Source organism: Homo sapiens, chromosome 1, assembly GCF_000001405.40.
Source record: "Homo sapiens chromosome 1, GRCh38.p14 Primary Assembly".
Lineage (NCBI taxonomy): Eukaryota > Metazoa > Chordata > Mammalia > Primates > Hominidae > Homo > Homo sapiens.
The window spans coordinates 219,335,031-219,358,579 of record NC_000001.11 but is presented as its reverse complement, the minus strand read 5'-3'; the positions used below and the strand labels follow the sequence as shown (position 1 = coordinate 219,358,579).

The 23,549-nt window shown below is 36.5% G+C and overlaps 1 protein-coding gene across 6 annotated transcripts in view; it reads right to left on the bottom strand.

The window, feature by feature from the left end:
• Nucleotides 1–23,549, bottom strand: part of LYPLAL1 (lysophospholipase like 1) — a 271,619-nt gene that overhangs the window by 86,917 nt on the left and 161,153 nt on the right. The gene's annotated exons all lie outside the window — the stretch shown is intronic.

Here is a 23,549-nt window from a genome sequence, read left to right as displayed (position 1 = left end):
GATGTGCCTGCTTCCCCTTCTGCCATGATTATAAGTTTCCTGAGGCCTCCCCAGCCTGGTGGAACTGTGAGCCAATTAAACCTCTTTTCTTTATAAATTACCCAGTCTCGGGCAGTTCTTTATAGTGCTGTGAAAATGAACTAATACAATGATTGTTATTTCACTTAAATAGTATACATGCATAGTCGTTTCAGAATTAACTAGGATTCCCATAGAAAACAATTTTATCAACTAGAGTACAGTACTTGTGCAGTTTCTTTGGACTTTAGTTTCACAGAGTTCACTCATTTCCAAAGTTACTTAGTCAGCAACTTTCCCTTCTGCCCCTTTAGTGAGGTTACTTCATATTTTGTAATATAGTTAGAAGATTTTGTAGCATTCTGGATGCAATCCTGAAATCTCTGAACCTTCTAAATGATTTTTTTAGAATTTTCAAACACTGAAGTCCACTCTTGGTGTCATGAAGTTTCATGAGTTTTGTCAATAGCATCATGTCATGTATCCACCATTAAAGTATGACGCAGAATACTTCCACCACCCCAAAATGTCTCCTGTGTGGACGGCAAACACTGACCTGCTTACTGCCTCTACAGTTTTGTGTTTATCAGAATGCCATATAAAAAGAACATATAATATGTAGCCTTTGCAGACTAGCTTCTTTCATTTGGCATTACGCATTTAAGATCTATCCATGTCTTTGCTTGGTTTGATAGCTAACTTATTTTATTGCTGAATAGTATTCCATTGTATGCATGTACCAAAATTTGCTTATTTATTCACATCTTTGTTGCTTCCAGTTTTTGGCAGTTATAAACAAAGCTATTATGAACATTTGCATTCAGATCTTGTGTAGGCACAAGTTTTCAAATTAGTTGGGTAAATACCTACCAATATGATTGCTAGATTATACGGCAAGACCATGTTCAGTTTTATAAGACATCACCAAACTGCTGCTCAAAATGGTGCCTTGGGTCCACTTGGTGAGAATAAAATCTCCACTTTCATTCCCATCAACAATGAATGAGAATTTCTTTTGCTACACATCTTTGACAGCAATTGATAATTAGCCATTCTAGTAGTGAGTATGGTATCTCATTTTGTTTTAATTTCCTTAATGATGTGTGATGTGAAGCATATGTTCATATGCTATTTGTCATCCATATATTTCTTTTGTTTTTTTAAATTATGTTCCTTGTTTTCTTACTGTTGATTTCATGTCTTTCTAGTATTATTTATGGTGAAATGGGAAGCATACATAAAATGTTGTTGCCACATATTGAAGTACAACGTTTGTCTTAAGCCAAAGAACTTGTGGAATTGAGTTGCAAGCTGAAATAACTGCTTTTTTTTCTGAGAACACCAGCTTTACTTGGGAATAAAATACACTGATGAAAAAATTGGCACATTTGGCTATTATTTTCTCAAAAATTAACAAAGAGAACCTATAACTTCAAGAAATCAACTGAAATTTTTTTCCCAATAATAACATTTGGACATTCAAGTGAAAATTCAAGTGACATTCAAGTGAAAATTAAAATTTTGGAAAACTTTATGTGCCACAGTTGGCTTGAAAACTCACTTCTTAAAGACCTTTGCTGATGACATTGACGGTGATATTAACAAGTATAATTATAATATAATGTGTCCACATTCAGAATTGCTGCTTAATTCAATGAACCAAAATGTTCCAAATGACAAATATATGTTCCTGCAAAATCATGTATGACTAAAAGGTTTATTAAAACACAAAATATATTAGTGGGTTTTAATGTAATTAGTTTTTAAAAAGTTCATGAATATGGCTTCAGACTTCATATTGCAAGTAATTTTTGAAACAACTACTACTTTTCAAATTCTGGCATAGTGTCAAAGAAAACGATCTACAATTACCTTTAAATGTTACCAAGACTACAAATCTTTGTGAGGCTGGATTTTCTTCATATATACTTCCCCCAAAGCAATGTAGAGCAACAGACTGAATGCATCTATTAAAAATATTTTAATGGTAATAGGCAATGGATTAATTTTTAAATTGATAAATATTTGTAAAAATTCTATTTTCCCTTTTGTTGTTGTTGTTGAGACGGCATATCACTCTGTTGCCCAGGCTGGAGTGCAATGGTGTGATCTCAACTCACTGCGACCTCCGCCTCCCGGGTTCAAGCGATTCTCCTGCCTCAGCCTCCCAAGTAGCTGGGACTACAGGTGCGCATCACCATGCCCAGCTAATTTTTGTATTTTTAGTAGAGACAGGGTTTCATCTTGTTGGCCAGGATGGTTTTGATATCTTGACCTCATGATCCGCCCACCTCGGCCTCCCAAAGTGCTGGGATTACAGGCATGAGCCACCATGCCTGGCCCCAGATTTCCCTTTTTTAAACCATTCAATCATTTTATTTATTTATTTAAATTTTCTTTTAGAGAAAACCTGCTTACATGGACCTTTTATTGCTGGATTTTCATCTAACAATTTTATTTTGTTTTTATTTATTAAATTCTCAGTTTTAACTTCATATGGGGTAAATACGACAGATACAATGCACATAAACAAAAACCTGTTAGAGTTGTCAAGAATTTTTAATAGTATAAAGAAGGCTTGAGATGAAACATTTTGATAGCATTATTCTAAGCTCTACTTCAGCATTGTTCCATATATTTATTTTCATTCAATTCAAAATATTTTCTAATTTTCTTTCTGATTTTTTGTCCTATTTATTTAGAAGTATGTAGTTTAGCTTCCAAATATCTAAGGTTTTTTTTCAGGTATCTTTCTGCTTTTGATTTCTAATTTAATACCATTGTGGTCAGAAAACATACTCTGGTTTCAATTCTTTTAAATTTATTGAGACATATTTTATGGCCTTCCATATGGTCTATCTTGGTGAATTTTCCGTGTACTCTTGTAAGAGGTATATTTGCGATTTCATGTATAAAGTTCTATAAATGTCTTCTTGATTGATTCTTTTGTTATTATTTAATGTTTTTCTGTATCTCTGGTAATATTCCTTACTCTGATGTCTACTTCTTCTAAAATAATAAAGCTAGTTAGCCAGGTCTTGATTTGTTTTTTTTGATACAGAATGACAATCTTTGCCTTTTAACAGAGTGTGTAATGCATTTATATTTAAATAATTGTTGCTAAGATTTTGTTTATTTACTTTATCTCTTCTGTTCAGTGTTCCCTTTTTATTTTATTTTTCTCTCTTTTGGGATTGCTTGCTTGTTTTTAGTTTCCCTTTTATCTCCTTTATTTGCTTATCCGTGAATATATCTTTGTATGTTGTTTATTTTGTTTTGTTTTGTTTATGGTGGTTATCGTAGGCTGTGCTGTCCAATGCAGTAGCCACTAGCCATATCAGTTCCTTAATTCAATTCCTTAGTTACGCAGGCCATATTTCAAGTGCTTGTTAGCCTAGTGTGGCTAAGGACTACTGTGTTGGTTATGTAGAGAACACGTCCATCATTGCAGAAAGATTTATTAGATAGCTCTGCTCTATGGCTCACAGTATGCATCTTTAGATTTAACACAGTCTACATTCAGATAACATTATCATCTTCAATTAAGAACCTTAAGAAAATATTCATCTATTTTTCCACTCCTGTCCTTTGTGTTCTTGTCATACATTTTATTTCTGCTTATGTTTAAGTCCCCATAATACAATATTATTTTGACTTTAAATAGTCAAATATCTTTTTAAAAATTAATGAGAAAAAAGTATTTTATATTTAATCTACTTACTCTATGTAGTACTCTTCAATTTTTTTTATAAATTTGAGTTTTATCTATAATTGGTTTCCTTAGCCTGAAAACTATCCTTTAACAACTCTTTTAGTTTATGTCTATTAATTACAAATAATATTAGCTTTAATTTGTTTAAAAAATATGAGGCATTCTTATCTTTGTTAGCCAGTACATAATGCGTTGTTTTCCTATAGCTACTTTTTACATTTCTTTCTTTGTTATTTGCTTTTTGCCATTTGATTATAGTGTGCCTTGGTGTTGTTTGCTTTGGTTATACATTGCTTTAGGTTAATTGATCTTTTTTGATCTGCGACTTACTGCTTTAATCAAATTTGAATTTTTGACCAGGCATGGTGGCTCACGCCAATAATCCCAGCACTTTGGGAGGCTGAGGTAGGCAGATTACTTGAGGTCAGGAGTTCGAGACCAGTCTGGCCATCATGGTGAAGCTCGTCTCTACTAAAAATACAAAAATTAGCCAAGCTTGGTGGCGAGTGCCTGTAATCCCAGCCACTCAGGAGACTCAGTCAGAAGAATCAGTTGAACCTGGGAGGTGGAGGTTCCAGTGAGCTAAGATTGCGCCACTGCACTCTAGCCTGGGCGACAGAGCAAGACTGCATCTCAATTTAAAAAAAAGTGGAACTTTTGCCATTTTTTTCTTTAAGTATCTTTCCTTCCACTTCTTTGCTTGTGAGACTGTATGATAGACTTGATATTATCCATTGGTTCACTGATGCTCTATTCATCTCTTCTCTCTTTCTTCTCTGTACTTCAGTTTGGACTGTTTCTACTTCCATGTTTACAAGTTCCTTGATCTTAACTTCTTCAGTGTCTAATCTGTTATTATGTACACACAGTGATTGTTCTAAATTTCAAATATCTATTTCAGTTCCAGAGATTTTTTTTTATAATTTCCATGTCTCTTTATTATATTCATGTTTTCATTTAGCTCTTAAACATTTATAATAGTGATTTTCAAGTTTTTGTTTGTTAATTTCAATTTCTCGGTCATATTTTGATGTATTTCTATTGGGTAAAGTTTCCCCTGTTTATGGGTCATATTTTCCTGTTTCTTCGCATCTAGAAATGTTTGATCAGATGCTAGACATAATGATTTTTGTGTTGTCCAGTGTGTGAATTCTGTTTTCTTTCTTTAAAGAGGATTGAATTTTATTTGAGTAGGCAGTTAAGTTACATGGGCTATTAGCTGCTTTATCCTTTCATGCTTATTTTAAAGCTTCACTCTGGTGTGTCTAACATAGCTTTCCTTTAGAGCTAGTTTAGTTTACTCCTGAGGTCCTGTCCTCCTATCAAATGCCTTTGATGTTCTAGAAAGTGTCTACATTCCAGTTGGTGAAAGCACAAACCTTTTCCAGCACTGTGCCACTTTTAGAAATGGCTGAGCTCCCCAACAGTTTATCTGTCTCCAATAGTTGTCCTTCCCCAGGACTCATGGTTTCTCACTGTGTCTATGGCATGTAAACCTGGCATTCAAGTAAACACTGAAGGAACCATTATGTAGAATCTAGTGCTCTGTCTTTGCATAGTTACCTCCTATCTGGTATTGTGCTTCACAAATTCCCATGGTTTCAGCCTCTCTGAGCACCAATCTGCCTTCTTAGCTCAATGAGACCAACATGATCTGCTTTGATTGCTCCTTCCTGTGCCAGGATCTAGTAAATGCCTCCAGGCAAAAATCTGAGGTGATAGAAAGGCTTACATCCTCGGTTTCACTTCTCCTAAACATTACATTCTTGTGCTGACAGCTTTTCAATGTCTTAAAATTGTCTCATAATTTAGTCCGGTTTTGTAGCTGCTTGCAGCAGGAGGGCTAGTAGGTACCAGTTACGCATGACAGTTGGAATCAGAAGTCAACGTTTAGTTTTGACACTATAGAAAATAAGAAATAATTGAATGTTTTTGAGCAAAAGGATAGCATGGTAAATATTTTATTTGAGAAGAATCAGTACTGAGAAAGACAGATTATATGGTAGACTAACTAGGACCAGAAAAACCATCCAGGGAGTAGTAAGCCAAACACTGGATGAACAGAGCCTAAGCTGGGCTAGTGGTGATGCAATGAACATGCAGCTACCTTGAGGGGAAACTTTGTCTCTAGGCTTATTGTTCAGCAGAAATTGGGTTGGGGAAGGTATGCCTATTAAATCGTTCCTGGAAGGACACTTGAAGAAAGGAAAAGTACTAATAAATGGTAACCTTTACTGAACGCCTACTATATTCTTAATGTTTTCATATTTCATTTTATTTATTCCTCAATATAATCCTGTGGATATTTTATTTATTTATTTATTTATTTATTTGAGACGGAGTCTCCTCCGTCACCCAGGCTGGAGTGCAGTGGCGCGATCTCGGCTTACTGCAAGCTCCACCTCCCGGGTTCACGCCATTCTCCTGCCTCAGCCTTCCCAGTAGCTGAGACTACAGGCGCCCGCCACCGCGCCCGGCTAATTTTTTGTATTTTTAGTAGAGACGGGGTTTCACCGTGGTCTCGATCTCCTGACCTCGTGATCCTCTCGCCTCGGCCTCCCAAAGTGCTGGGATTACAGGCGTGAGCCACCGCGCCTGGCCCCCTGTGGATGTTATTATCCCCAATTTATAGGTGAAGAGACTGAGGCTCAAAGAGGTGAAGTCACTGAGCTAAGTAAAATCAGTTGGAAATGATAGAGTCAGCCTTCAATTTCAGATCTGGTTGTCTGCAGACCTTAAGCTCTTTCCTTAATCATGCTTCCTCTATAGAGTGGAGCAGATGTAGCTCTTAGAAGCCATAGTTATATCAATGGAAAAATATTAGCAACATTAAAAATAGAATTTACAAAAATCTAACATGCTGTGCCTAGAATTAGAATTAGAAGTTACAAAGCCCTGAAATCTCTGACAAATCTCCACCAAAGTGGAATTTGGAGGTGACTTTTTGCCATCTACATGACAGACTGGCAGTTTATAAATATTTTAGCTTAATTCCAACTACCAGATAATTTCCCATTGCCAATGGCACATTCCTAGGTGAAGTGTCTATGGTTTATTCATTCAATGCCCTAATTAATTGTTTGTATTTGTTTACTAAGAGTCTTAGTGCATCAAAAACATCTTCTGTTTTGCTTTAAAACACTGTGAATAACTTTGGGAATAAAATAGAAAATGTAGGCATGATTTGCTACTTTCCCAGATTCAGCAACAACTTCTTGATGTGTTTTTATTTCCCTTATAAGAACATTCGCCATCAATGAAATGGATAGGCTGGGGATAAAGTGAACATAAGGGCATTCTCGGTGAAGTATTTGGTTATTATCAGACATAAGCCAGTGGCATTCATGACATAGACCCTGCTATTTTAATGCTAGACAGGTAATTGGATGATCCTCATGAGAGTGGGTTAGTAACATTAAGTATAGAGAGATTTCTCTTTGATGATGTGCCCTCCTTAATTCCTTTCTCTCTCTGCTCTATTATTCCCTTTCCTCTTTTCTATACCACTTGTACTCCTAGGCCAGAGTAAATATTCTCATCCCAACAATGAGCTACCAGTAAGTTATTTTAACAGCAGGATATCTGCAAATGAAAAGGTCCTGAGAGAAAGTGTATATGTGTGTAAGTCTGAGAATTACTATGTATTGTCTAATCTAATAATTGTCCAATATGTTCTGTCTGAAACTGTTAATCTATTTGGCAAATACTAGATAACAATGCAAATAAGTGGGAATGATATTACAGAAGCTGCACTACAAATATAGTAGAAAGATCTTCAGAGCTTTAGGTAGTCACAGCAGAGGTTGAACAAGGCTCCTGGTCTTTTTGTTTTCTATCTATGGTTTGTTGTAATATTTCAGAGCAAGATGAACAAATACTTCAGAAAATGGCCCCTGACCCACTGGGCTCCTCACCCTCTTGCAGAAGCCCTGCCAGGAATTGGTTTCAGCAGCAAATGCCAGAAGATGGATCAAGCTCATCCCTTTCACCCCACTTAGCTGAGCTACAGATGTTATTCATATTCATCACAGTGTCCAGCTCTTTGACAAAAGTACAGAGTTCCTTGGCTCAATAAAAATCATATGTCATCGAGTTTCCTGGGTTAAGTGCATGCTACTTAGAAAAGCATTTCCCTTGGTCTATTTGTTTGATGAGATGTTTGGAGACCTCCAACATCTGCATATCGGTTGCAGCCTCCACTGTTGCCAAATGCCCTCTTGCCTCTACTTCATTCTCCAAGGTGCTCACTCACTCTGCTCAGCTCTACACTTTGCTATCTTTTGGCAATGCTCAATGTTTCCCTGAACCCAGTGAAATGTAGATATTCTCTACCAAAGTGCAGAATGCTGGGAACAGAAGGAGGAGGCAGTGTAGCTTCACACAGTTTTATTATTTCCTGCCCTTGGTCTCAATTCCAAAAGCTGAAGATTATTTCCAAATGTGCCCTGCAGCCAATCCCATCATTACACGGATATTAGGTCCTACAACCCAGCATTGTGGCTTAGGCATCTCTATGCCTCATGAGACCGTGTGTGGGTTAAGTTTTGACATTGAAAAAAAAAATAACAACCTTGTAGAACTGATTGAAAACATATACAGTGTGGCAGGGCATGCATGTGGATCTCAGGCTGTGGCTTCATCGATCTGAATGGAAAACATGAGCATCTGATGCTATAAAAAATCACTTAAAAAATAGACACCTTTTAAAATTCTTCACTCTATCCATCTCTATCCACACAAATTAATTTGAAGGTACATTAGAGTTTACAGGTTAAAATTCTGCTTTGGAAAACTATTTGTTTTTAATATGCAATGGAACCTCACTCTAATCTCAGCAGTTTGCAGTGAAATCAAAGGCATCATTGAATAATGTAATGGCTTATATTACTCCAAGAAAATCCAATTGCTAGGTAAAAAGAGTGGAGGTGAAGACATTTCTAAGATCATGTTACTATTTTTCCCTGTTATTTTAGAGATTAAAGCAAGATAAACATACACAGTGAGAGGCTTGAGTATAAGTGATGGGCAGAGTAAGATCAAGCCTGGAAGTTTTTCTTAGTCTAAATTTAAAAGGTGCTACTCTTAAGTTTATCCAATGTACCATTTTGTTTCATGACTGTGTCCTGTTGCCAGACTGATTCCCACTCTCTCCACTTTGTTTTCATGCTGCCCTCTTGATCACTACACACATGAACACACAAGCACATACACACAAACATGCATACACACATATGCACATGAGTACACATACATACATGCATGCATAGGTACACATGCACACAGGCATATGATCACATGCACGCACACTCTTTTCTTCTTTACTTGATGTTATCATCCCTGAGGAACTTTCCCTATCAGAGGATGGGCTTAGATGCCCTTATTTTATGCTTCAAATTATGCTTCATTAACAGTCTGTTCACATCTCTCTCATAGCATTTACCTCATCATACTGCCTACACCTCTTTCCTCTCCATATATCAAAGTTTTGTGAAGCTGGGGATCACATTTCACTGTGTTATCAACTTCTAGGTTAGCTCCTAACACAGAGTAGTTTCTCAGTTCATGCTGAACTGAATGAACTATATGTCTATAACCATCCTAAAAAGGATTTCTCTGGGAATACTTTCAAGAGCACTAAAATAAAGAGGGTCAAGACGTGGGGACTATCTAGGTCAATTATTTGTATGTAGTCAGTCCAGTGGTTATGAGCCAGGCTCTGAAATCAGCAGACCTGTTTTCACCTTTTCACAGTGTTGAGCAAGTTACGTAACCTCTCTAAAGCCCAATTTTCTCTTTTATGAAAAAGAAATGATGTTCCCTACTGCATGAATTGTTGTCAGTCTAAAATGAAATAATCATATGAACTACAGTAGCAGTCAATGATATAATAGCTGAGATGGTGATAGTAGAGATTGCCTTTATATTAGAGATGATGTTTTACTCCATCACCAAGATATGTAAATTCTACAAAGTGGAGATTTTTGTCTTTTTTTCATCCTTTGCCATTAGAGACAGGATGGCAAAGGAAGTTCTAGGAAGTTTCTGATATATAGCAGGCACTCAATCAATTATTTGTTGAAAAAATATGTAAATATGGGGTTTTCTCCCGGGAAAGGCAATAGATTATACAGCTTCATGCACACTCTCTGGCTCTTCTGAACATTTGCTAGACAGCTGGCTGCATATTTACCATAGACTGTACAGTAATCAAACCTGATGATTTAACTACCTAAAATTTTAGCTTATTAGGTCAAATTAGTCGAGTATATCAGTACTCAAGAAGAATGAAATGGAGAATTTAGGAGATAAAAAAAGAAGACTGAAGACATATTCTTTCTTGAAAATCTATCAGACCTGGAAGGAAAACCATGTGTGGAAGTGACCCAGAAGAAGCTGAGGAATACACAGAATGACCTGCAGAGGCCCCTTTCAGCACTAATGATCCATGAAGGAGATTTACAGACCCACACGAATTGACCCCAACCAAGCCTTGGCTTGCTACTTTGCTCCCACGTTGGCCGGTGTTCTCACTTCACTCACTACAGCAGCTCCTTCCAACCCTGCCCTGCCCTCAGTCTCTGCTGCTGGAAATGACCACTGGCCCATGGCCCAGAGGGCGTGGCTGGCACTGTGGAAGTGGGGTTTGCCTGACTTCTACATAAAGGCAGCAGCTGGGCAATACACACAACCTGAGCAGAGCTGCGTTTGTTTTATGGACAAGGCTCCCATGTGAAATTGACTTTCCCTCTTTGCTGACTTGGCCAGGTTAGCAGTGCTCACTGCTGGATCACAGGAAGCACATATTTGCTACAAAGTCTATTTGGAGACCCACATGGCCCTCAGATGAGCAATAATCCAGATTTCTTATTTTATTTTTTTTTCTTTTCCATGGGAATAAGAGCATTTCTCTGCCAAGGAACATATTTTAAGCTTTTCTTTTGGCTGCTCCTGTGGGGGAGCTCAAGGGCCTGGTGATTTTTTTTTTTTCTGTGCATCAAGGAGAATCTGGAGCCTTTTGTGAAAAAGAAGGGAAAATATGCTTCATGCACCCAATTGACCTGTCTCATCCAGTGAAAGAAGTTTTTCTGACAAAAGTTGAATTCATTATTTCTTGACAGGGATGGCAGGACATGTGAGAAGAAAGTAATGGGTTATTTGAATCATTCTAGCCACACCTCTTAATAAAAAAATAAATTATGTTGTGCAAATATTTTGTAGATCACAGCATCTATTGGCAGCTACATGCTATTTTTCCTTTTGAATAAAAGGGAAAACAAAAAGTGACAGAATCCTGGGGGGTGGTATTATTTTAGTTCTGATGAGTAACAAAGCCTGGACAGTCTTCTTTGTTTCAGGACAAGGCCCCGGTGATTGTGGAGGCATCAAGAATCCTTCTCACAGCTTTTTGCCAGTGACAAAGAAGGAAATATGGAGGGTTCTGACTTAAACAGTTCTTGTATCAAGACTACTTTTTAATGAAAGAATTTGGGGGTATTGGTTGTTAATTAGCATATGGAGCAAGGGAGAACACTGATCAACATTCAGAAGCCAAAAGCCAGACCTAGCTAAAAAGGAAAAGAAAAAGAAAAAGAATGGCCAAAAAGTGAATTAATCAAAACCCTGGGCATAGCAGCTTGTCCAGAAATAAGGATAAGAGAAAGGAAATGGAAAAGTGGTAATAAGGTAAAAAATCAAGGAGCATTTTTGAAAAATCATGGTTAATAAGAGCAAAATTGATGATGTCAGTTTAAGAGAAATGTGAATAAAACACAGAAAAGAGGCTAAAAAAGAGGAAGATTAACAAGAAGCAAAATTGAAGTACTGTCAGAGGTGCTTGTGTGGTTTAAAAACACATGTTACCTATAATAAACAAGATTTGTCAAGTCTCAAATAAAAGAAACAAAATAGGGGTTTTGGTGTTTGTTAAAATACATTTCAAATTACCTTCCCCAGGCTGAGCTCTTCTCTCTCTCTGCCCAGGTTTCAGAGAGGCAGGGCGTGCTCTTCCTGGTCTCTGTTTCCCTTCTAATCAGGTGTTTCCACCTTGGTCTCCAGCTTCTAGTTAACCTTTACTTTCTAATTTGCAACTTCTTTTTTATGGCCCCCCACTTATGGGGCTACCAGCCTATATGTGTAAATATGATCACATACACATTAAGCTCTGATTCTCCCCCAAACCTTCCACCTGTCTTCACAGGTCTCCTGGGGATGTCCTGGAAAGTTGGTTCAACACAGCGTCTCTCTGCCAGTATCCCTATCTTTTCATTCTTTTCCTGCACACATGTTTGTGTGCCAAATGGATGCTCAGTACCAAAGCCCTCTTATGAAACTGGCCCTATTTTCCCATAGAACTGATGTTTATGGCTTTTTTGAAAAAAAAAAAAAAAAATAGAAATTGACCCTCCTGGTCTTAAAAGTTGAAACTTATGTTTGTCTTATCTGAGTTCCTTTCTCAGAAAGACCCTCAGTTCTCCCAGACGGTATCAAGGAACTGACACTCCTCTTCCTTACTTGTCCCTAATTCCTGTTTCCCTAACTGACCACCTGCTTTCAGTTGGCCACCTTTCCTTCCTTACCCTTTCTAATTCCTGTTTTCCCACACATAGTCACACTCCTTCCTTGCTGTATAAACTTTCAATTTTAGTCAGTTAGAGATACAGATTTGAGACTGATCTCTCATCTCCTTGGCTGCAGCACCCCAATAAAGCCTTCTTCCCTGGCAATACTCATAGTCTCAGTGACTGGCTTTCTGTGAGGTGAGGAACAAGCCCTAGACCAAACCCCTGGTGTTTCAGTAATACCTGGACTCCCTTCTGTGGATTTTCCTAGAGGGCAGCCTTTCCTTGTACAACTCCATGTTCCAAACATTGCTGACCCTGGGGCCAGAGGAACTGATATAAATAGAATAGGATGGAAAACACATCACAGGGATAAAGGAGAACCACTCGTTGAGTGTGTGAGTATCACATTGAGGGGGTTGGAAGACAGGGACAGCATTGGAATGAAGTAGTCAAAATTTGCCTTTGAGTCAAGCCTGCTATAGCCATGTCCTGTCCATGCTTCCTTCCTTTCATTTTCCTCCCTTTTTTCAAAAACCTTCTTCTGAACAGCAGTGACCTTTCCAATATGTGTTTGGAGGAAGCAAAAGAAAGAAAGGTGAAGGGAAATGGATGGGATTGCTCTCCACCTCACCCACCCCAGATCTCCTCCTAACCTATTAGGGTTCACCTCATGCAGGCATCAAGTTAAAGTCTGTTTGTGTTCTCACCAAAACTTGCCTTAGAAATGTATTTCCAGCAGCACACATGTACATCATTTCTCTGGATATTTAATTATAACTTACAGTTTCCTAATTGCATCTTAGAATGAGAGTTAATTCATGAATCCAAAACAAAACCAAATCCCCAAAAAACTATTCATCACAAGCAGCAGCAGCTTTCTGGTAAGGGAGAGGAGAAAACAGAGGCAGCTTCATGTGGGTATATGCTTAGGATCATTGTCATTTTATCCATTAAATTACACATTCCATTAATCTTTTAGGACATCTACTCTGTGGAAGTTGCTATATGGTTACTGTGGAGAAAAATACAAGATATTAATTCTCATGAGAGTTTATTTTCTAATAGAGGTGATTAAATATGTGTACAAACATATAATAATGATAAACAAGTGATGGTTACCTGATATATTATATTTGAAGACACTCTCTAACCTATAGTTCTATAAATACAGAAAGAAATATTCCTATTTATTAATTGAAGTTTAAGCATTACAAATCATGTGCTGAAAAGAAAGTTATCATTTCTGACTATTATGATTAGGAAAAATACTGAGGACAAAATGATATGTGAGTAGAGCTTTGAGTCACATATAGGATAAATATGGGGAGGATTTTGTGGGTGGAAGATGTTAAGAAGCCATCTCAGAAAAAAAGTTCAGTAATAAGACACTGAATATGTGTGTTGGGGGAGGTTTAATGTACATATAGGATACAGCGAGTTTGGAAAGAAATGAAATATTTTCAGAAACATCTCAAAGCAAGGATTGACTGGATATTTTAATGGACTCCTTGGAACAAGTAAAATAGAAGAAGTCAAGGAGAACTCCAATCATTTTATTATAGAAACTATTTAACCATTAGGAAGTCTGGGGATGTCAAAGGGAGAGCAGGCTCAGGGGAGAAACATGAACTAGGTCCCAGACATATAGAGCTGGAGCGGTTAGGGTGGGGCAGTAATATTCAAGAGACAATGATAATTTGGGAGAGATGTCAAGAAAATGTTAAGGCTGTTGATATAAAACAGGAAGTCACTTATGCTGTGGACTTATTTAAAACCATAAGATGAAGAATTCTGATAAAATACACGTAAAATAGTTGCAAAGTATAAAAGGATAAATCCTGGGGGAAGACTCCCAGTTAGAGAATGGGAGGAGGACAAACAGTAAGTACAGGAGAGACAAAAGAGTTTGGAAAGAGAAGGGAGACGAGAATCGTGCAATGCCCAGAAGTCAAAGGAGGAGCCACTTTCAGAAAGGTAGATAGTTTGCAGTGTCAAATGCTATAAAGAATAAAAACTGGATATGGTCTGAGAAAACAATGGGGGTTCACTGGTTTCTTTGAGTGAACAACTGCAGGCAAATGGTGTAGGGGAAGACAAACTACAGTGAGTTTACCAATGAATACAGAAGTGTAGCAGCATGTTCTGTTGGAAGTTCCATAACTCAAAGAAGGACTGAGTGTTCATTTTGAGGGGGCAGCAGATCTCAGAAAAGATTTTCTCAGGATCCACAAGCCCTAGGTGGAGGGGAATCTTTCCTTAAGAAATGAGAATTCAAGTTGCTACAGAATTTAAAGGGAATTGCCTTTAAAGAAAAATCAGAGAAAGACAAGTGTGAATGGAAATACAATTAGCTGTGGAGATACCACCTTTAGGAAAGAAGAGTGACTTACTTTTCTCTACCATAAGTGGAAGAAAAAAAAAGGAATGGTTGGATAGTGGGTAGATATGCGAAGGCAAAGTCCAGAGAGAAGGAAGATGAAGGAGCTCTATAAAGAGAAGGTGAGATCACTAGATGAGAATAGCAAAAGAAGGTGCAGAATGATGACATGAGTGCCACAGAGTGAAGTAAAGCACAATGAAATAAGCCACCTAAATTTGCATCCTATAGTGAGAAATGTTCGTAGTTTATTTCATTCTGATACCAGAATTTTGAGCCATGGAGGTCTATCCCAGATCCCTATTTAGAATAGTATTGAAAATATTCTTTCAGCTGCAACATTTTGAAAGTGGTAAAAAGAGTAACTAAAAATAATTGAGCTATTACCATAAATTTAGAATAATATACAACTTATTAGAGAGTTAACCTCAGGTTAATTAAGTACAATAAGGATACATGTTAAGATCTTGCTGTTAATTTTTAGCTAGTCCTCATAGTATTTGGTCAAGATTCTAAATGAAGTCTGTGGTAAAACCATGGATCCATTTCATTCTCATCTGGATTCCTAGTTTTGAGGCATTTAGAATTTGTTGACTTTCTTTGACATGTTTCTGTGCTCTGGTTCAATGAAGGTCTCCCCTAGGACCTTGGGCTCATCTTTGTCTTATTCACTTGTATAATTTTAGCTCATCATTTTCATGAATTTTGTTTCTAATAAAGTTCATTTTATTCAAATGTATTTGCAAAATCATTGCTGATTGGGGAGGAGAAAAACAAGATCAGACAGATGTCATCACATCCATATTACAGATGCTCCAGCTTATTCCAATGGTTAAGTTGTCGGACTTGGGCTGAAGCCCAAATCCTCAAGCGCCAGATACAGAGCCCCACCTATTGACCACTATCACATCCGTGCTCCTCCCATTAAGCATCACATAACCTCATCCATGAAATAAACAATCTATTAATTAAACTTCAATAAGAAAAAAGGGACTAAATCAATCCTCTCTGTGTGATTTCGAAACAATAAACTGGAAATTGAAAATTAAACCATTTTACTTTTTGTTTTAATCTTTAAAATGCTAACCAACTTAAACTATTTAGACATTAGAAAAACAATGAGTCAACTCAGTCACTTAATAAAATAATCTAGTTTCAACACAAATCATTCCACTGGACACTTGACTGAATTTTTCATTTTTTAACCAGCAGTCTTGTCTTTATGCAGCCTTAACTTCATACAGTCAAAGAGGAATTTTTTTAAAGCAATTCAGAAAATGCAAGACTAGTGCTAAGAACTGTGAAGGGGCTGAGATTGTCCCTTACTTATAAACTAACAAATTAGGCTGCCAGTTTCATGGAGTCTGCGGAAACCACGAGACTCCTGGGTCAGAGACAATGGAGTTTGTTGCTCATAACAACAGCAGTAGCCAGAGCATCAGCACTTCCTTGTGCAGGTTCCTTGGGGCCTAATAGGGTGATGCAAAAAGGGCCCGCAAATGTAGTGGGTTGTATTAAAAGAGAGAAACCTTGAGCTAAGGGGGTCCCAAATCATTTTAAATAATCACTAAGCTTGTCTGTCTTTATCTCTGGAGGATTTACTATCTCTATCTCCCTCCTAAAGCTGTTCTATACTCAAACATCCTTAAAAAGATAACCCAGAACAAAGTCAGTCTGTGTCTCTGCTTACAAGTCATGCAAAACCTTGAGAGACTCATGGAGAATTGTTTCTCAGCAGCTAGTGGGTCAATGTAAGTTTGAAATGATTCATTATTGATACCCAGATGCAAAGGGATGACCAAGATTTAGTAAAAATTATTAACCACAAGGTGGCTATGGATAAGTTGTGATTGTTGACTGTGTTACAAAAAAAGTGCATTGAAATAAACTGATATAAATACAATGTGAGTATAATAATTTTTCTAATAAAAAGTATTGAGAATAGTCCTGTTATTCTTCCCCAGCCTGACCTTAATTTAAAACTTCTCTTCAGTAAAACAAATCTATTAGAAAGATATCAAATGCTCCTTATTGAGAAACTGTCATGGTTCAGATTTCAATCAACTTTTTATTTAAATGGCTTCTGAATCCACTTAATTTAGTTTTAAAATAAATGTAAACTTCATTTTTACTATAAATTCTACATAAATCTCAAGCAAACAGCTTGTCATTCATGCTCAGACCTATAAAAACAGGTTCTTGTAAGTCCACCTACTAGAAAAAAATGATAAGTGTATTCTTTAAAATGGTTCTTTGTGAACTTTGTTTTCATTAGATTTTTAATAATAAAAAGGCCACTTGGTTCAGGACAGAGAAGTATAATAAATGCAGCACATTAAAACAAAATAAAACATACATTACCCAACTGTCTAATATTGAATCTTACAATTTATCAAGTTGACTCAAAATAATAAACTCCACCTTGAGAAATAAAATAAAATAAAATTGAACCTTTTCTGAAAGGAGAGCCATGTTGCTTATGGAACAGCCCACATTAATATAAACTGAGAAGAAAGGAAATGTGTAAAAGTTTAGAGCTGAAGGAATTTCTGCATGTGGGTATACTGCAAGTACATGTATTCTAGAACTAGCATAATATATTGTTAAAAGTAATGAAATCTGGGAATGTGTATTCAAATTATTAACTTTATGCACTCCATGAAGTATTTGAGCTTATTTAGTGAAACATATATCAGACAAGTTGGTTATTACTAACATGACCAAAAAAGGAATAATAAACAGGCTGTGTCTTGCATACACTCCATATGCATTATAAGTCTGTGGGTTTTATGATGCATAAGCTGTTCCTATCTTTGGAATATTCAATTTGAATGGGTAGATTAGACAGATACAGATACATGCACATGGAATGTTAGTGAATAAGGCCTTGCACATTAAGATAAATGCTGAATTAGTTCAGACAAAGACTACAGCAGTTTAGAGGAAGCCCTCAGAGCTGGGAAGGGCTAGAAAAGGCTTTAACAGATAGGAGATCAGAGGTATTACTCATTGCCCTCTCTTGTTACAAAACAAATGGGTTCCTGGGTTATATAAAGAAAGGTGAAGGCAGAAAGCCCTCAGTTCTAGTTGTCGTTTCACTGATAATTTTCAGACTAGTAATAAATGATGATCCTTTTAATGTTCTCATCTCAGCCTCATAAAGTTACTCAGTGTAAATGGGAAACTCATTAGAGTTACTGAAAGAAATATATATATTTTTTAATGACCATCGATTCAACTTCGTTAAAAGCAGGGAAGAATCTGTTTAGAATTTAGATAAAAGGAAAACATTCTAAAATTAAGTGAGAAGAACAGTAAAATTCTAACTGTCAAAAGTATACGCATGGAAAACCTAACCCACCTATTATGAATAAGTAAGAAGGAGCTGGAATAAGCATTAATGTAATGTAACTTCCCCTCCCCTCACCCACACATCCATTGGTATCCCATCCTCTTAATTGGTTGGTTGTGTTCACCACTTCCATTAGATATGAACAGTTAGGACAATTCTTATTCTTTCTTGTATAATAACAGAAGCGAGATCTAGGTAGCTTAATGTGGTTTGAGCCTGGGGTTAAATCAAGAAGAGACTGTGGCACCTGTAATATTAAAGTGACCTGCTTCTATGACTTTCAAAGAACACCAGAGCTACTAAAGCTGCCCCAGACAGACTTAACTAAACTGAACATTATAACTTCTTTCCATCACTTTGTTGATACCCACAACGATAGTAATTGGTTATAAGTATTAGTTATTTTGTAAGCTGTGCATTTTGTTCAATAAATTATGTCAATTTTTATAAGATAAATATTTATATACCATACATTTTTTTCATCAGCACATAATGTTTGTAATAAATGGGTTAGGTTTTCCATGCATATACTTTTGAGAGTCTTAGAATCCTGGAGAAAACAATATAATAATTTTAAATTCCTGCATTGGAAAGGGAGAAATTGATGAACAGTACCAAAAGTCAGTGAAGAGGAAGCTCAAGTTCTTGCCAATATGTGGTGCAAAAATGCTGTGGAGTTTTTGGTTAGTCAAGTCTCTCAAGCTAGCCTTTACATATTTCAGAAAAGCCAAGTGTTTTTTTCTCCCTAATTTTTCAACCCTGATGTATTTTTGGGGAAATTTGGTCCATATGTTTCTAATTCATTTATTCCAACTCATCAAATGTTGTTTTGTAAGACTATTCATTGCCCAAAGGTTTTCTAAACAGTCTTCCAAAGACCTCTAAGCTAGAAATGGGAATAAATGCAAGTGATACCCATTGCTAAACCTAAATTTTCTTGAACCCAGTGTTAATAGAAGACTAGCATCTATTTTTAAACTTGGCAAACGATAGACACCATTCAGCTGCTGACTCAGAGTGAAACAACAGTTAGCTGCATATTTGTGTAAATTGTGTATGCAAAAGTTTTTTGTTTTTAAAAAATCCATGGAAAAGGATTTAATTCTTAATAATAATGGAGAGAACAGCAACATATTTTACTTTTTCCTAAAACTTTCTCATAGCTATTATCACCGTTGCTCCTTATTATAATACCGTGGGATAGACAAGGTAGTTACACTCATCTGCATTGCACACTTGAAGTACTTGAGGCTCAGAGAAATCAAGTAATTTTCACCATATTGCATAGGGATGTCATGGAGGAAGAGGATCTGGGACTCAGTCCTCCTAGATCTAGACTTTTGTTTTTTGGGACAAACAATGACATCTATGTCTCTCTATGACTTACGCAGGGTGAGACCATATCCTGTTTCATGGTAGCGTGGATGACCCAGTGTACAGAGCTCAATGTGGGTCTCACTAAGGGTCTTGTTAGTGCCAGGGCCAGACGTGGTATGAGTTCCTTCTTCTAGATTATCTCTGACCCTAATATAGGGTGAGGCAGCCTTACTGACCGCTGAGTAAATACACATATATATTTACACATATCTAGGCATTTGATCTGATCTAATTTGGTCTAATCAACTTACAGATTTGTTGCAAAGATTATTGCAAATATTTATTGCAAAAATTAATGTAATATATTATATTATTAAAATAATTATGTCCATGATGGCACTTAATTCATAAAACATTGAAAAAAAGATGAATATTTAGTCATCTCTACTTTACAAATAAAAATATCTAAGGCATGGAGTTACTAAACTTTCTATATTAAGTCAAGGGGAGAGCTCAGATGTGCATTTTGTAGAATTTACTGAGATGAAGCAATGTTAGGTCTACCTTTAACATTAATCATGATGTTGATGATGAAAATGGGAATTACCACTTCTGTTTTTGTTTTTTTTTTGTACCATGTGCCAGGTACATGATCTCAATTAGTTATCACAAAAGATATTGAGGTGGATATTTTCACTCTAGTTTTTAAAGATGAAGAAACTGAGGCTCAGCAAGTTTAGATATTATATCAGTTAGGTCTCTATTAGCTGCAAGTAACAGATAACCAAACCCAAACTGACTTAAGCAACAACAGAATGTTTTGATACATGTAACTGAAAACCCCATGCATATAGCTGGCTTCATGTGTGGTTTCATGCAGGGTCACAAATAACATTATCGGAATTCAGGTTTTTTCCTATTTTTTATTTTATCTATTCTTGGCCTCATTCCCAAGTTTTATAAGGAGTTATACAGTAAGCAGTAGCTCTAGATATTTTCTTGCCTAAATGGAATGCATCTATCCCTGGTTGACATTAGTCCATATTGGATTAAATGTTTCTCCCTGACAAAATTCCTAAATTAGCCCTTTGGCTTCGGTCTAGGTTGCATGCTTGCCCTTGAAACTTGGGGTAGGGTAAGTTCCATCCAAACCACGTAAAATGAGAATGAGGAAGGAGTGGTCCCTCATCAAAATTTAGGTGAACTATTACCAAAATAATAATAAACACAAACAGATTCTTAGAGGCCAAATAACTACAAATGCCCACAGCAAGTAACATGCCCAAGATGAAACAGCTAGCATGTGGCAGAGCTGGAACTCACATGTGTGTCTTTTTAATTCTGAAATTTGTTCTCTAACCTTGGGGTTGGTGATTTTTTTCTGTAGTGAGTTAATAAGTATTTTAGATTCTGCAGGCCATAAGCTGTCTGTTGCAATACACAGTTTGGTCCTTGTTATGCAAAGGCAGTCATAGACAACACAGAAACAAATAGGCATGGCTGTGTTCCGATGAAACTTCATTTACAAACACAGGTGAAGAGCCAGCTTTTGTGTGCTATGGTTTACTGATTCCTTCACCCCACTTTTAGTAATTTTGATCAGCCACAGTCTTCACATACAGAACAGAAATGGAACAGCCTCTTTGATGTGAGTAGTTGGAAAATATTTCCTAGATGAAGTACACCAGCCCATAGCTAGTGACCAGTCAAGGTGGAGTCTACTTACTTGCAAATCTCCCATGTGCTCCTGCTTTAATCAAATGAAATACAAGAAACAGAATGTATTCAAAGAGAATATTTGTTTTATGGGTTACACTATGTGTTTTATGTTCTACACTGTGTAGATATTTTCTATATCACAATATTACTATAAACCTTCTTCAGATGTTCTTATTCCCTGAATAATTTAACATCAATTTGACAATCTTTGTGCTAGATGGAATAATAGCCCTCCAAAAGATGTCTGTGTCATAATCCCCAGAACCTCTGAGTAAGTTATCTTGTATGTAAAAGGGATTTTGTATATGTGATTAAGTTAAAGATCTTAAACAAGAGAGATAATCCTGGTTGATCAGAGTGGATCCAATGCCCAATGTAATCACGAGATTTCTTAGAAAAGAGAGGCAGGATATTCAGAAGTTAAGGAGGAGAAGACAATGAGAAGATAAAAGCAGAGAATGATGTAATGCAGTCACAGGCCAAGGAATGCTAGCACCCTCTAAAAACTGGGAGAGGTAAGAAACAGGCTCCCCTGGAGCCTTCAGAAAAAACAGCCCCGCTGACAACCTGATTCCAGCCCAGTAGAACTCATTTCTTGTGATGTCATAAGTCATTAAATTTATGGTAATTTTGAAAGCAGACCTAGGAAAATAATACAGTCCTATATCTCAAAATAATATTGAGGCAGATTTCTTTTACTCTACTGAATTCAGTAGTGAAAGCACAATTAAGAAAAAAGAAACATTGCTTTCCATTTCCCAAGCTGATTGGTTATAGGTAGGTTGCACATTGCCATGAGAAAATAACATTTATGGACACTTTGATATCATTACCTCCAACAATGATTTTATGGCAATACTAGTTGTAGGAATAATAATAGTAGAAATGGCAAGTAAATTGGCTAAGGCATGTAAAGGACTTTGTACTTTTGCTGGCCCAAGGAACTCAGAAAATAGTAACAATTGTTATTATCAATAGTTGCAGTGTTCCCAATGGCAACAGTGTTGGTATTGGTATCACTGCTAGTAAAAAAAGTCACCATTTTTGAGTGCATAACATATCCCAGGTACTGTCTTAAGTATTTTTTACTCATTATCTATTTTAATCCTCACATAACACAATAAAATAGGTGTCATTATCTTGGTGAATGAAGAATGTGAATCTCTGGGAGATTAAATTATTTCCCCAATATATCATGACAAGTAAGTAGTAACAGTAGAATTAATTAAACCTTGGTATGCTCACTAATAAAATTCAGGCTTTTTGCAACAACTCAATTTTGAAGCCATCATCCCTGTGCCTCCAAAATTAGCTGGTGTAGCTAATAGAACTCTTGGTTGAGAGAAACTATATCCTTGATAAAAGGGGATATCATGGGACATCAAAGATACACTTTGTTGATGTAACACCTGTGCCAAGAGTTTTTTGTCAACACTGTTTGTGAGCAATGTTGTCAAAATGTTCTCTAGGTGACCAAACAGAAAGACATTCGACCTCTGCTGAGAATGTCTTTCTGTTTGGTCACCTAGAGAACACCCAGGTATTATTTAATGTGATAATCAGGCATCACTTGCTCTGTGAAGCCTTTCTTGACATCACCTTTTCTTGACTTCACTCTTCTATGCCCCTGCTCAAATATTTTTCTTATTAGGGTCTGTCCACAACTTACTTCGTTGTGCTAATTGGGTTTGTATCTGTCTCTCTCATAAGCTTTGTGATATCAACAAACCTGTTTATTGGCAACTGTGTATCCAGTTGTAGCACAATTCTGGGCGCATTAAAGTGTTCAGTGGATATTTAGTGATGAAGATACAAGTGAATAAATAATATGTAAATGAATAGATTAATGAATTATTTTACCATGAAGGAGCAAGGAGAGTTCTCATTCTAGAGGGAAGAGTTTTTAGTGCAGTTTTTTAAAAAATTTTATTCTGCAACACAACTACCTAAATAAGAATACAATATAAACCCCATTTTTTCTCTTACCAAATTACTGTTTCTAATTACATATCGCACTTTATGTTTCTTATAAATTCTAATGTTTTTTTTTCAGCTAAGTTAAAATGAAAGTTAAGCTTATGTGTATGTGAAGATATACCCCAGAAAAATTACATATAAATGAGAAAATGCTGTGTTCTAAAATCTGGAATATGATGCCTTTTTGAAGTAGGTCCTGATTCTTTCACTTTTGTAGTTAACTTAATAAGTAATTCAGCAGTTCTTACCCTGAAAAATATACAGAAGTGGTAACTTGAACCAATGAAATGAGTGTGAACAGGAGGGGATAGTATCGATGGAATTGATTCAAGATACACAAATACAGGTGGTAATTGAAAATAGAGCTGAGAAAACAAAATATGAGACCTAAACTAATAAAAAATTCTTCTGCTCAGTTCTCTATTAATGTAAAAATGTAGTTGGATGAAGAAAATTTGACTTGATTTATGAGAGTTTTCTGTATATGGAGGAAATGTTTTGAGAAGTGGGTTTGGA